General features: G+C 50.1%; 1 protein-coding gene across 8 annotated transcripts in view, besides 2 other annotated features; it reads right to left on the bottom strand.

Annotated features, from left to right (window-relative positions):
• The window catches only part of TMEM63A (transmembrane protein 63A), a 41,825-nt gene that overhangs the window by 12,602 nt on the left and 14,681 nt on the right, over positions 1 to 14,542 (bottom strand). For 3 of the 8 annotated variants that reach the window (XR_949163.4, XM_011544330.4, NM_014698.3), the window contains 12 exons: positions 13,955 to 14,006; positions 13,417 to 13,525; positions 12,740 to 12,810; positions 9,614 to 9,694; positions 9,298 to 9,421; positions 9,061 to 9,194; positions 7,703 to 7,840; positions 6,039 to 6,192; positions 3,754 to 3,860; positions 3,495 to 3,581; positions 2,721 to 2,783; positions 472 to 634 (listed from right to left, as the gene is read on the bottom strand). Coding sequence is in view for 6 of the 8 variants with exons in the window: in XM_011544330.4 (XP_011542632.1) it covers positions 472 to 634; positions 2,721 to 2,783; positions 3,495 to 3,581; positions 3,754 to 3,860; positions 6,039 to 6,192; positions 7,703 to 7,840; positions 9,061 to 9,194; positions 9,298 to 9,421; positions 9,614 to 9,694; positions 12,740 to 12,810; positions 13,417 to 13,525; positions 13,955 to 14,006 (1,283 nt within the window). In the remaining 2 variants the exon portion in view is untranslated. Of the gene's footprint in view, positions 1 to 471; positions 635 to 2,720; positions 2,784 to 3,494; positions 3,582 to 3,753; positions 3,861 to 6,038; positions 6,193 to 7,702; positions 7,841 to 9,060; positions 9,195 to 9,297; positions 9,422 to 9,613; positions 9,695 to 12,739; positions 12,811 to 13,416; positions 13,526 to 13,954; positions 14,015 to 14,542 lie in introns of those variants that run through there. The other 5 variants (XR_007065257.1, XM_047435144.1, XM_047435145.1 and 2 more) reach the window with 4 other exon arrangements.
• Positions 11,019 to 11,219: a silencer, noted in NCBI's record as "peak731 fragment used in MPRA reporter construct". NCBI's record gives its function as "represses an SCP1 promoter by STARR-seq MPRAs in K562 erythroleukemia cells {active_cell/tissue: K562}" and the evidence as "EXISTENCE:reporter gene assay evidence [ECO:0000049][PMID:32103011]".
• Positions 11,358 to 11,558: a silencer, noted in NCBI's record as "peak732 fragment used in MPRA reporter construct". NCBI's record gives its function as "represses an SCP1 promoter by STARR-seq MPRAs in K562 erythroleukemia cells {active_cell/tissue: K562}" and the evidence as "EXISTENCE:reporter gene assay evidence [ECO:0000049][PMID:32103011]".

A 14,542-nucleotide genomic window follows, 5' to 3' on the forward strand; every position in this document is an offset into this window, starting at 1 on the left:
ATGAAATGAAGGAATGCAGCACTTCTCCCACTTTCCTCGCACAGTGCCCACCATGGCAGAGGAGAATAAAAGAGAAAGCCACACCCTCCAGTTCAGGGAATCCTGGAATAAATGCCACAAGCCGAAAATGCCTTTGACATCTGGGGTTTGGCTAAGAATTTATGCAAATGGGTGCCTACAGAAAAAGAGTCTGTTGGTTTGAGTTGTATGTATGTATGTGTGCGATCAAACCGTTTCAAATGCCAAAGTCCCAAGCTCTCTCCTCCAGCCTGTGAGCTAGAGAGGAGGCTGGAGGAGGCCACGCCTGCCTGGACCCGGGTTTGAGAAGCACTTAGCCCAGTGCCTGCACTAGTGGGTAGTCAGGTAAATGCTACCCACTAGTGGGGGTAGTGGGGGTGAGAGGCCCTCGGGTCAGTGAAGGGGGACATGGGAGGGAGTCAGAGGCACAGCCCTGGGCCCAGGGGATGGCACCTGCTTGACATTCCTGCGGTCAGCAGCCGTCTTGGCCATGATCATGCGGAAGGTATAGAGGATGAGACCTGGCAGCCGCAGCAGCTCCATGCCATTGCCGATGAAGGCCGAGGCGATGACATAGTTCACAAAGAAGGCACCCTGGTCAGGCAGGAAGACGCACCTGGGGAAACCAGGGCCCAGGTCTGTGAGCTGAGAGCCGCTCTTGGAGGGAGAGGAGGGGCCCCTAGGCTGGGCAGGAGCAGAAAGCCCCTGGGAGGGCTGTATACTCTTCCGTTCATTCAGCACATATTTGGGAAACACATCTGTGTGCCAAGCACCTTTCTAGGCACTGAGAATAGAACAAAGCCCCTGCGCCACTCTCTTGAAGTTCACATTCTAGCTGGGGGCACAAACAAGCAGACAAACAAATATTCCATCTGCTGGGGACGGTGAGCACTAGAGGAAAACAAAGCAGGGAGGGTTCCTATGTCATACAGGGGTTGGAGGAGCCTTTCTAACGAGGTGATATTCGTGCAGAAATGTGAAGAGGTGAAGGAGCAAGTCATCCCCAAACCTGGGAAGACAGGATTCCAGGGAAAGGGAACAACATACAAGACACCTGAGGATGTCCTCGTCTGCTGCACATCCAGGGGCTGGACAGCAGTGGGCGAGGGGAGGCAGAAGACAAGGCTGAAAGGGGCTGGGGGCCAGCCCAGGACAAGGGATCTGTTCCAATGGGGTCAGGGAGACTACACAGATGGCCACTGTGTCATCCCCATGTGGGATGAGGGCGGTTGTGATGGAGGTGGTGAGATATGAAGGGATTCTGGATCTACTTTAGAGAGAGTTGTCAGGATTTTCTGGTAGGCTGGGTATGGCATGGGAGGGATAGAAAGGAAACAAGGTGAACTTTGAGGTTTTTTGCCAAAACAAGTAGAAAAACAATATGGAATGGGGAAAGTTGTAGAGTAGCAGATTTGAGGGTAAAAGTCGAGAGTTTGGTTTTGGGCAGGTAACATCCGTGGTACCCAGTAAAACTCCAGCTAGAGTTTGAGGTGGGCAGTTGGGTTACCAGCCTGGAGGTGCAGGCTAGAGGCATAAATGTGGATGTTGTCCGCATAAGTTAATTCAGGAGCAGTATCATGGCATGGAAGCCGTGGGTTCAGCTGAAGTCACCTAGAGAGGCAGTGTGGACCCAGAACTGGGGGCTGAGCCTTCAGGCAGCCAAAATCTAGAGTTGGGGAGATGGGAGAGAACCCACCAAGGAGGGTGACAAGAGGATGCTGCGAGATGAGAGACCCAAGGCCGAGCTTCGAGGAGGAAGGCTCGGATAAATGTGTCAGATGTCGCTGATAGATCATAAGATGAGGATTGAGCTGGTCACTGGACTTGTCAATCTGAAAGTCACTGTCAACCTAGACTATTGCTGGCTGTATGTATGTGTGTCTGTCACAGTCATCAGCTCCCAACTCATCAGCTTACTCAGCAAGAACTCATTTAAAATAACTCGCCCCATCCTTACAGGTAAGCACATTCTTTTAGGAAAGTCAATGCCAAGCCTCTGGACCTATATTAAGACCTAATGTATAGTCTGTAGGGGCTGGGGTTGAATCCCAGCTCTGTTCCTTAACCAGCTGGATAAACTTGGGCAAGTTATTCAACGTCTCCAAACCTCAGTCTCCTCATCTGTAAAATGGAGAGAATAATAGTATCTTCCTCATAGCTCATTGTAAAGATACAGTGAGAAAAAGATGCATAAAGCATTTAGCATAGTGCCTTCTTAAACAATAGCTATTACTATTAAGTGGCATGGTATAAGTTTAAAATACTAACAAGGATACATCAGTAATAAATTTAATTCTATTCTGGCAAAAATAATCCCCAGAGCCCAGAGGCATCCTGGCTGCCATCTTTAATTATTATTCTCCTTTCCCCACTCCCTGGCACCACTGAGACCCAGCAATTCCTTCTCCCCATGTGACTCTGTGCTCAGTAAGTTTCAATGAATGAGACAGCTGCTAATTGAGTTCTGGCCTAAAAAATTAACCACATTTCTGCAAGCATAGCACAAAGTGGGTCAGCTCCCACAGTGTCTACCAGAAACCTGGCAGGGTGGAGGTGAGGCCCCAAGCCCTGCTGTCTGGGGAGGAAGATGCCTGTTCAGAAGCATAGGCTACGACCGCCCCCACCCATCCCACTGCAGCCCCAGCCCCTGTGGGACTTTCACCCAGGGCCATGGCTCCAGAACTCAACTTGGCAATACTCACTCCAACCTGATGGAGGCCTCCGAGGAAGTTTTGTCAAAGAGCCACCGGAAGAAAAAATCTAGACTGAAAAACAAAGGAACCCCCTAAGAGTTTATTTCCAGCATTCCATATTGTCACTACACATGCTTTCATTTTCTTTTGCTCTAAAAACAGGCCAAAGCTCGAGATTGACTTTTGTTCTCAACGATGCCACTTACTACGGCATGACCTGTCACAGTCTGCTTTAACAGAAACTTCCTTCCTTGAGATAAATAAAGCCATGATGAGGCCTTCCCTAAGTGGAAGGTCCTTGATAAGTTTCATTTTCTTTTCTCTTTTGTAGAGATGGGGTTTCGCCAGACTGCCCAGGCTGGAACTCCTGGGCTCAAGCAATCTGCCCACCTCGGCCTCCCAAAATGCTAGGATTACAGGCGTGAGCCACTGTGCCTGGCCACAAAATTTTCAAGCTGGTTTTTTTTTTTTTTTTTTTTGAGACAGAGTCTCACGCCTGTAATCCCAGCACTTTGGGAGGCCGAGGCGGGTGGATCACCTGAGGTCAGGAGCTCAAGAACAGCCTGACCAATATGGTGTTTTTTTCTTTTTTAAAGAAGAACAATCAATCATATTGCCAGAAGAATCAATGACCCAGCCCTACTGCACGCCGAGTGGTTGCGACAGGCTTAGATATTGTTAGAGGTTTGCTTCTGCTGCCAAACCGTTTGCATTCTCCTGGGGACAGTGCTCTCCTGATGTGACTCTTATTCTGAATTTAGAGCAGAAGGTGGTGGCATATACCTGGTGAGACCCAGGGAGGGCAGGATCAGCACCATGAAGATCAAGAATATGTAGACTTTGGTCATCATGATCTGGTTTTCCCCCGACCTGCAGGAAGTCAAAGGTGAGCACTCGCAGTCCCCCAAATGCTCTATGTGCCCCCAGTGAGGCCCCTGCCATGTGCCCACTGCCTGAGCAGCTGGGGGGTTAGGGTGTGGACAAGGGAGCGGTCAGAGATATCCTTCTTAGGGGCAGGGCCTCGGGGCTCCCGGGCACTCACTTGGTCCAGTGAGACTCCAGCAGTGTAGAGTAGTAGACAATGGAGGGGAGCAGGGCCGAGAAGGACCAGAGCAGGAGGGTGGGGAAGAACTGGCTGATGATCGGGTTCTAGGAGAAAGGTCCACAGCAGAGAGAGTCACAGGGGCCGTGGGCCACGCGGCTCTGAGGCCATGACCTATTGGTATGGTCGCTCAGTGGACTCCCAGGGTAGGAGTTTGTCATCTCTGACCCCAGAACCAAAACTGTGCCAGGTACAGAGTTGGTAGTCCATAAATGTTGGCTGAATAATCAGTAACAGCACCTTATATTTGTACAGCTCCTCACAGCACAGCAAAGAAAGCAATTTCACATACGAGTAAACTCCACTTATCTGACTAACCAGATTAAATAACCTTCTCTGCTCCCTATACAAAACCAATGACTGATGCCATGGCAAGACTGAACACCGAAGGCCTGGAGTCCTGGCCGGCGGGGCGGGGGGGGGGGGGTGCCCTGCCTGCTCAGCTCCCACTGTCCAGCTGCAGCATATCAGGGCTCCACTGTGTGTGTCCACAATCCTGCTGTTTGTTACTGGGATTACATGAGCTGATTGACTTATTACTGTCACTGATTAGATGAACATAAAAATAGAGAGAAATTTTCTTTGAAAACTAAGTTGGCTACTTTGGAAAGACTTAATAAAAGTCAATTTCTAAAAAAAAAAACAAAACGCTGTTAATTAGATGAGAGTAAATTAACGATAAAAGATCAAGGGATATGCGATCTAGGAAGTTTCTATATTCAGAATGGCTCGGCAAATATCTAAATTCTTCCTTTACTTTAAAGAAACCAACACTGGAATCACAAAACAATGAAATAAGGGTGTGGTTGATGTAAAGTAGACAAAGGGGAGCTCTCATCAGCAGATCCATCTTCAAAAGAATAGGCCTGTCCTTCTATTAAAAGATTGGCAAAGGAATGCATATTTATAATACCTGCTTTAAATCTTAAGCAAAGCTGCTGAATTTATACTTAGGTAGTTTAAAACTATCTATGGAGTCAGATAAGAGCTTCAACCACACATCAGCTCATTGATTATCATGACAACAGCCTCACGCCCTGTATAATAGTGCAGGTGTTTTAACTCCAGTTCTTGGATGAAAAACTGAGGTTCAGAATTCATCAGATAGGGAATGGCAAAGTGAAGACAAGGAGGCCCACCTGCCCCGTGTGCTTTCCCAGGGAATGATTAACCAAATGCAAAGTGAAATTTAAAAAGAAAAATAATCTAGGGAGATGGTTTGGCAAAGCTAATCATGAGAAACCAATAGCTTTTTGAGTAGATGCCAGTTGAGTGAGTGTTTGGCTGTTATCTCATTGATTCATCTAAGATTTTTGAAAATCGTTCATTACCTATACAGAATAGTTTGTTTTTTTTTTTTTTTTTTTTTTTTGAGATGGAGTTTCGCTCTTGTCGCCCAGGCTGGAGTGCAGTGGTGCAATCTCGGCTTACTGCAACCTCCACCTCCCGGTTCAAGCGATTCTCCTGCCTCAGCCTCCTGACTATCTGGGATTATAAGCGCCCACCAACACGCCCAGCTAATTTTTGTATTTTCAGTAGAGATGGGGTTGTGCCATGTTGGCCAGGCTAGTCTCGAACTCCTGACCTCAGGTGATCCGCCCACCTTGGCCTCCCAAAATGCTGGGATTACAGGCGTGAGCTACCGTGCCCGGCCCCAAAATAGTTTTATAACAAGGTCATTAGCAACCAAAATGTAAAAGAAATAATTTGTGATCCTGCCACCCCAATCAACGAAGCTTTTTTCCTTCCTTCCTGGCCCCTCCCCGTAGTGTCCATGATAGACATGCCTCACTGGTACATCCCTGCTTCTGTCAGGAGCCCTGCATGGGTGCCACAAAATCTATACAATTTTGAATGGATGCTTGATAGTCTACCAACCTGAATATACCACATTCAACTCAAATGATCCCTACCATTCAGTATTTAGATAGTCTATTAAAATATATATGTATGCATGTGTGTGTATATATACATATAATGTGTGTGTGTGTGTGTGTGTGTGTGTGTGTGTGTGTGTGTGTGTGTGTATGGCATTACTATAAGGACTTTGTAATAAATGTGGCCATGCCTGCTCAGGGCTTAAAAGCAAGGATGTGAGCTGAGCAACATGACCCACTGGTTTAGTTCCCCGCACACACCCCACTCCTGTCCCCACTCCTTCCCCACCCACCAAGCCCTCTTCTCACCAGCTATCCTGGGAGGGGCCTTGCAGAACAGTTACTCACATTCAGCGCATGGATGGGTTTGGTGACATTAAACTTGTCCATGGTGGACAGGATGATGGAGGGTGTGGTCAGGAAAAATAGCCCCAGGAAGAGGGTGAAGTTGATGCCCAGCCACTGTAGCCACCAGCGGAGGCCCTGGATAGAGAGGTTCTTCCTGCAGCGGGAGAGGGGATACAGGTCTCGAGGCTTGTCTCCCAGTGCTCGTGGCTTAGGTGGGTCAGAAGGTCAGATTTAGGCAGACCAAGAGACTAGCCTGGGGGCAAGTTCTCTGCACTGACCTTCAACTACAGAAAGACCAAATCTTAGGTCCCCAAGAGCTCAGAGGGAACAATTATTCTCTCAGATGTGGCTCCCCAGCTAAAGTCTGGGGGCCAGAACCTACCCAAAGAGATGGCATGAGCACCCAAGCAGGCCAAACAAGGCTCCAGCATGGCATTTATTTTTTCTTTTTCTGTTTTTTTTTTTTTGGAGACAGAGTCTTGCTCAGTCACCCAGGCTAGAGTGCAGTGGTGTGATCTCGGCTCACTGCAACCTCTGCCTCCCAGGTTCAAGCAATTCTCCTGCTCAGCCTCCCATGTAGCTGGGACTATAGGCGTGTACCACCACACCCAGCTAATTTTTTTGTATTTTTAGTAGAGACAGGGTTTCACCATGTTACCCAGGGTGGTCTTGAAATCCTGAGCTCAGGCAATCCGCCTGCCTCAGCCTCTCGAAGTGCTGGGATTACAGGTGTGAGCACCACGCCCGGCCCCAGCGTGGCATTTCTTAGACACATCTGCAATGCTTTGTGACTAACGACACATTCTTCCCAACGGGGCTGTAGCTGGGGTACAGGAAGGAGGAAGGCAGGGACAAAGGAGTGAAGGCATAGCTTGCACCTGCCCTGGCCTCTCATCCCAAAGAACAGACCCACAAAGCAATCCTGAGTTTAGGAAGCCTTGTGAACCAAAGAGCAAAACTGTCAGAGGCAGAACTAGAACCGAGCAGAGGGGAGCACTTCAAGCTCATTCTGTGCAAGGAGCTGAGGCAGGGCTGGACAGGCAGCTGCGCTGGGGCTTGCGCTGGGTGCCCTTACCCTCAGCACAGCACTGGAGGCTCACCAGGGCCCCCATGGACACAGCTCAGCTCCCCAGCACGGCCCCAGGCTGACACTGGACCTAAGTAAGGCTGCACAAGCTGCATGCGGCTACTGAGCATTTTAAATGTGGCTGGTGTGAATTGAGAGGTGCTAGAAGTGTAAAATACACACCAGATATTGAAGACTAAGTGTGAAAAAGAGAATGTAAAACATCTCACATTTTTCAAAAATTGCATGTTGAAATAACAGTTTGGATATATTGGGCGAGATACATTATTAAAATTAATTTCAACTGTTTCTTTTTACTTTTTTAGCATGGCTATTAGGAAATTTAAAATTAGATGCAGAACTGGCATTATATTTCTGCTGGGTAGCACTTGAATGCTAGGGAGGAACACTGGAGGGAAGGGCTGGGCAGATACCCCAGTTGGGCCACACCGAGCACATCACAGCATCACAGCCCACAGAATTGCAGATGTGTGGAGATCTCCATTGACTGCCAGGTCACACCTGTGCTCCAGGTGATGGGCAGCTCCCACCAGGAACCCAGGCCTCTCTCCCACCTCTCCTTGGTCTAGGAGCTTACCAGCAGATGTCCTCAGGGTCAGCAGCAAAGGTGACTGTCCACTTGGAGGTATAGAGCTCCCTGCTATGGGAGGACGGCTGGGGCTCACCTTTGCACTGAAGGCTCTGACACTTGCAGGCATTGAAATCTTTCAGGATGCTGCAAGGAAATGTAGCAACAGCCAGGCCCAGGCTACTCAGGTTACCAAGCACACATGTGGCAAGTGGGGACTGAGTAGGAGTGGGAGGCAGTGGCATAGGACCTTTGCTTTGTTGTGATTAGTGTATTATGAGTAACGCTATGTAAGAGGTGCCACGCTAGCACAGTGTGTGGAGAATTTTGTTTAATCCTCGCAACCACCAGCAACAAAGGGAGTACGATTCCCATTTTACAGATAAGGAAACTGAGGGCAACACACTGCTCTTCCATAGGGCCATCCCCCTCCACCCTGCCTGTTAAGCTGGAGCTCTGATCAGTGCTACTGCCAGGCCAGTGGCTCAACTTTTCATTCTGTCACTTTTTCCCCAGGCCCAAGTGTAGCAATAGACCACGTTACACATTGCCTGTTCCCAAGCTTCCCTCCTCAGGGCTCCCACCTCGACCCTCACCATCTCAACAGGTCACAGCTTTTCCTCCTTTAACCTCCCGTAAGGAGCCCAGCAGCCCCTCTACTCCTGCCTCAGATGCCTTCCCCTTTCCTCCTGCCCCAGTGTCTGCAAGGAGGCAGGAAGTCCTGTGTGAGTCCATTCCTAGTGTCACAATGCCTGGGGCAGTGGCTGGACACCTTTCCACACCCCTCTCCCGACCCACCCTGTGCTGCTCCTAAGGCGAGATGACACTGAGACCACAGGCATGAGAGCCTAGAGTCCCATGCCAAGGGCCACTGTGAAAAGCCACTCCCCAGGGTCAAGCTCCCCACTGCAGTGAGCGCCCCAGCGTGCCCCAGGGGTCTTCCCCACAGCTTTGCATTTGTGGGAAGGTGGGGAGCCACAGACAGAAGGATCTGTGGCCCAGAGCAGATGTCTGAAAGGAGGGTGCCTCCATCTCCCCTGGGGCAAGGCTGGCACATGAAGCCAACAGGATGGGTCCAGGGCAGCAGGGAAGAGCCCAGCAGTGGGGCCAGGCCACATCAGCTCGAGGGGGTCAGCCAGAATCACCCACTCCGTGGCTGCTGCCCACACCCCCACCGCCTGTTACACAAACATGGGCTGGGCTGGCTGAAAGTGAGTGTGGGTAGCTGAGGGAGGAGAAGGAAACACCACAGATAAATCCCAGGGATGGTGGGTCAGCAGTACCATCTCCACTCGAGAGGGACAGTGAGTTATCTGGAGGGGAACAGGGAGTCAGCCAAGAAGGGGTCTGGATGTGCCTACACTCACTAGGTGGCCATGGACTTCTCCTGGAAGGTGACGAAGGCCATTCCCAGGGGCTGGTCCTGGACGTGGCGTTCTTCCTCTGTGATCCTCTCCAGCAGCCTGTCCTTCATCCGTGTGTAGTAAGAGATGGCGTCTTCCTGCCACAAGACACATCCCATTGGGATGACGTGGCCCCATGCTGGTATCTGGGGCACCCCGATGCCAATGCCTCTGCTCCCAGCCGGGGGGTGGGACCCTTACCCACTCACAGCCCAGCACTTCACAGCAGCAAAACTGGCCACAGGGCTTGGGGTTGATGAGGGTCCGCTGGCCTGTCTTCACCTGCAGGTTTGTGTAATAGGTCAGGCTCTTCTCAGTCTTCTTTCTGTAGGGGTGGGAGCGGGGGCACAAACCTCAGATTTAGAATCCTGTGGCAGGGACCCCCATACCCACAGTTCAACCATCGAACGCCAGGGGAGAAGGAGGGGTCCAGGGCCTCCCGCCTCCCTTCCTAGCTGGGAGATGCGAGGCCAGCAAGGAAGGAGGGGGCATCTTGCAAGGCCCGCCCACCACTCACTTCTCCTTGCACAGGTAGATCAGTTTGGCCACGTTGTAGCACAGCTGCACATCAACCACCTCACACGTGGGATACGCGTCCCTGTGGCCAGGGAGAGAAGGAGGCAAAAGACACCGTTGGAAAAGAAAACACCCCAAGCAGGAGACGTGCCCACGGATCCAAGGGAAAGGATGGCAGAGTGATCTCGCTGCTGGTTTCTGTGCCAGCGGAGACCTCTCTTCTCTTTGTCTTTTATCCTCCAAAAGGGGGAAATTTTGAAATTTAATACAAAGAGGGCTTTTGTTTTGTTTTGTTTTGTTTAGAGACAGGGTCTCACTCTGTCACCCAGGCTGCTGTACAGTGGCACAATCATGGCTCACTGTAGCCTCAACCTTCTGGGCTCAATCAATCCTCCCACCTCAGCCTCCTGAGTAGCTGGGGCTACAGGCACATGCCACCAGGCTGATTTTTATTTTTTGTAGAGACGGGGTCTCGCTATGTTGCCCAGGCTGATTTCGAACTTCTGGCCTCAAGCACTCCTCCTGTCTCACCCTCCCAAAGTGCTGGGATTGTAGGCGTGAGTCACTGCACCCCGCTAGCCTTTTTTAGTAGTATGAAGCTAACTGCCTGGAACTGACAAGTTTATACCCACTTGGCTTGGAATCAGCTGGCACTTCTCCTGGGGAAAAATGAACACATCACTATCCCCTCTAAAGACCCAAAGGAACAGATTTATTGTTTGTGCTAGGTCAGTATCTACCTTGAGCCATCACTGAAATCCTATTCAGGTAGCCTTTTTTAAGGTCACAGACCTTTCAGAGGGTCTAATGAAAGCAAAGGACCCTCAGACCAGAAAATATCTACACACATATTAACAACCAGCAAGGCCAGGTGCGGTGGCTCATGCCTGTAATCCCAGCACTTCGGGAGGCTGAGCCGGGTGGATCACTTGAGGTCAGGAGTTTGCGACCAGCCTGGCCAATGTGGTGAAACGCTGTCTCTACTAAAAATACAAAAATTAGCCAGGTGTGGTGGCACACACCTGTAATCCAGCTACTTGGGAGGCTGGGGCACGAGAATCACTTGAACCTGGGAGGCAGAGGTTGCAGTGAGCAAGATTGCCCCACTGCACTCCAGCCTGGGCAACAGAGTGAGACTCCGTCTCAAAAAAAAAAAAAAAAAAAAAAAAAACCCAGCAAAATACATACTCACTATTGACCAGGTATTGTTACATATATTTATTTATTTAATCCTCATCATAACCTGTGAGGTTTTGTCCCCATTTTACAGATGAGTAAACTGAGGCCGACAGAGGTAAGTGGCTTGTGCCCAAGATCACACAGCTAGTGAGTGTCTGAGCCAGGAGGTGAATACAGGCAACCTGGCTCCAAGGTCAATGCTCATGGCCACCATGCAATACCCCCTCACCATACACGCAAAATTATACATACAATTCCAGGGGATTCCAGAACCATGTAAATCCCCACCTACCACCTGCCAGGCACTGTTCTAGGTGCTGGTAACAGGGCCTGGATGTGCTTACATTTTAGTGAGAGAGACAGCCCATAGGTATATCAATCATGAAATTAAACAGTAGGACAATTTCTGGTCTCAATAAGAGCTGTGAGGAAGAAAACTGCAATTTAAGCATCCCTGCTTGAAAGGCAAATTCATACATCAATCCCCACGGACTGCAACAGCATTCACTAAAAAGGCCTCTTAAAATAGGGGAAAGCATGAGTCATGCAATGTTTGTATGAGAATGAGGAGACTTTTTTTTTCTCTTTAAAGTTATACATTAAGTGGAATTACTGTTTCCAGGTGTTGCCTAGCAGGCAACTTTGAGGAGTTGCTTCAAGGAAATACAGAAAAATGATTCTGGTATTGAGTATTTACATATTAGTAAATATTTCTAAAATACTTAGAGTTTCTGAAGAAGTTTTTCAAATTTTAAACATTCAGTTTACGATCCTGTCTAGCAATTTGCTTAGCAAGTGCTTTCTTCACAAATAGTGCAAAGTTAAAGTGCAGCCAACTCCTAGTCCATGCAACAAATTAGTGGCTGCTGTATTGATAAGGAATGAAGAGAGGCCGGGCATGGTGGCTCACGCCTGTAATCCCAGCACTTTGGGAGGGCAAGGCAGGAGGATCACTTGAGCCCAGCAATTCGAGACCAGCCTGGGCAACATAGCAAGACTCTATCTCCATAAAAAATTTAAAAATTAGCTGGGTGTGGTGCCATGTGTCTGCAGTCCCAGCTACTTGGGAGGCTGAGGCAGGAAGATGCCTTAAGTCCAGGAGTTGAGGCCGCAGTAAGCTATTATTGCACTACTGAACTCTAGCCTGGGCAACAGAGCAAGACCCTGTCTCTAAAAAAATAAGATTACAAAAAAAGGAATGAAGAAAGAATAAAATGTCAGCTCCTCAGCCCAGCCTTCAGGTCCTCCAGCATGGGGTCCTGGGAGCCTTCCCGGACTGCTTGCCCTGCCCCCCTGCACCCCACCGCCACCTTTCCTGATGCTCTGGGCCTTTCCCCGCATCCCTGGCTGCACACGTAATCTCCTCACAGGAAAGACTTTCCTCCAGCCTCCATCTGCAGGAATTGGTGGTGCAGATACTCAAAGGGAGCCGCTGGAAAGGAGGTTCTACCAGGGAGAGCCTGGACTCAGACACAGTGCTCACTCAACAGACACCCGCTCAGTGGGTGGACAAACGAACAAACGCAGAGATGGCCCCGAGGTCCTTCCACCTGTGAGACCCTAGCCCTGTGGGTCCATACAAATGCTCAGCTCACGTCTCTCTTATTCTGCAAAGGTGATGCTAAGAACCCCGGGGTCAACAATTTTTTCCCCCGTATGCTCTCAAGACGTTTATTCGCACCTACACCCTGGTCTGTGCTCTGGACACTGTGCACAGGCTGCTTGAAGAGGATAGGCCACCAGGGCGCTATTCACTGCACAGCACCAGCAGGGCTGGCACACAGGAGCCACTCCATACACGTGTGGCAGGGCCAGGTCCTTCTCAGATCTCACCTGGATACCCAAGCGAGAGACAGAAGGCGCTCACCTAAGGTGCTCGCCCTGCGGGTGGGGCTGTGTTGGTCCTACGTGGAGGGGGCTCAGCTCCCCTCCCACCCCACCTGCTTACCGGAAGTGGCTCTCCACAGTCTCCTTCCTGGCATCTCTGGGGAGTCCTGTGATGAACAGGGTCCGCCTCACCTGTCCGGGAAATACAGCAGGGAGAGAAGTCACCCACAAGCCAGTGTGCCGGTATGCTCAGGTTTCCTACCCAACTCCAGCCTCTGGAAAGTAAACAACAGGAAATCAGAAGGCTCCAGTTTTCTCCTTCTGTGGCCGGGGGAGCCCCCAAAGCATGTCATTTACACAGCGTCTTCTTCCAGGCTGTACAAAGAATCCACTTCCAAAGCAACTCTATGAGCCTTCTTTGCATGGCAGGAGACTGAGAAAGAGGGGAAGTGACTCAAATGCGGTCACACAGCAGATCAGAGGAGGACCCAGGCCTGGAACCAAGCCACAGAAGCTCCCCTCCCCTGTGAAGCTGTGGGCGGCAAAGAGAAAGGGCTGCTCTCAACCCAAATTTCTTTACTTAGCACCAGTAACTGTCCAAATCTTGAAACAATCCACCAGGAAACTGTTTTTTTTAAAGATGGTGCCAAGTGTGAGCAAGAATAAGCAAGCGGGGCTCCTGAGGCCCTCCCAGAGCTCATTGCAGTCAGGGCCTGTGGCAGAGCCTGGGAGGCCCTTCCACTCCGACTCCCACCTGAGTCCCTCCCAGCACATGTCCCTAAGTCCCGCCTCACTCACCAGGTTCTCCTCTTTGTACTTAATGGACTGAGTGTGGTGCCGCATGAAACCCACAGTGAGGAAGAGGTAAATGACAGCAAAGATGGTGTGCAGCCAAAGGAGGTCATTGCTGAGAGGGAAACCACCTGCCATCAGGGCTGGGATCCCAGGCAGGGAGCTGGGGGTGCAGAGCTGGGGCCTGGTTACCCTCAGTGGGCACTGAACTGAGGACCAACAGCTTCACTGCAAGAGATGCCTCCCACAGAGGTTGTGTGGCCAGCACCCCTCAGCCCACAGTGAATACTTCAGAGGGGTCCCCATCCCTGTCCTGACAAATGAACTCCAGATCCACAGGACCCTCCGTGTTTCTTAAAACCCTGGCAAAACAGTGTCTGCCTGTGGCGTGTTCATGCCCACAGCTCAACAACTCACTAGCTGCAAGGGGCCTTCAGATACCAGCCGGCCCCCTTTGGAGTACCTCTGGCCTGCCCCGGGCTCCTGACCTGCCTTCTCCTTGATCTCACCCATCAGCACCTATCCCCACGGGCTCCATACTCACTCAGTCTGTAGGTTTGCTATTGTTGTCCTCCCAAAACTATACGGGTCTTTGTCTGCAGAGAAGCACAGATACTTAGTTCCAGGGTCATGTGGGGAAGCAGGAGGGGGCGTAACCAATCAGCCTTGGTTTGTGGAGCTCTGGGGAGGAGGAGCATGTCTGGACCAGCAGGAAGACAACGTCTGACTGGTCTTTCCAGAGCTACACCATCAAGGCCTCTGCTTGAAACCAAAATGCTCCCTGATAACTTCTCAACCTTCCATTGCAGGTAAAGGCATAATGTGAATTCATTTTGTTTTGAGAAAACTAAAAACATCCTATGTTGTTACAAAACCAACGTTGGGAACCACTGGGTATCCTAAGTGGATTCATGGTGGCATTTTGGAAGGTGGATTCTTGCAGTTGCCCTTAGATATAATGCCACACCCTGATTTTAATTAAGTATCATGGATATCTTCTGGGTCCATTAATTGTGACCTCCTAATTTGGGTGAGGGCAGGAAAGTATAAAAGACTCTCTGATAGCCCCTGATTCTGTAAATCTTGGGGGGCTTTTTTCCCTATTTAAATAGAACCAGACATTGATATTGGG

This window comes from Homo sapiens, chromosome 1, assembly GCF_000001405.40.
Source record: "Homo sapiens chromosome 1, GRCh38.p14 Primary Assembly".
In the NCBI taxonomy this organism is placed as follows: domain Eukaryota; kingdom Metazoa; phylum Chordata; class Mammalia; order Primates; family Hominidae; genus Homo; species Homo sapiens.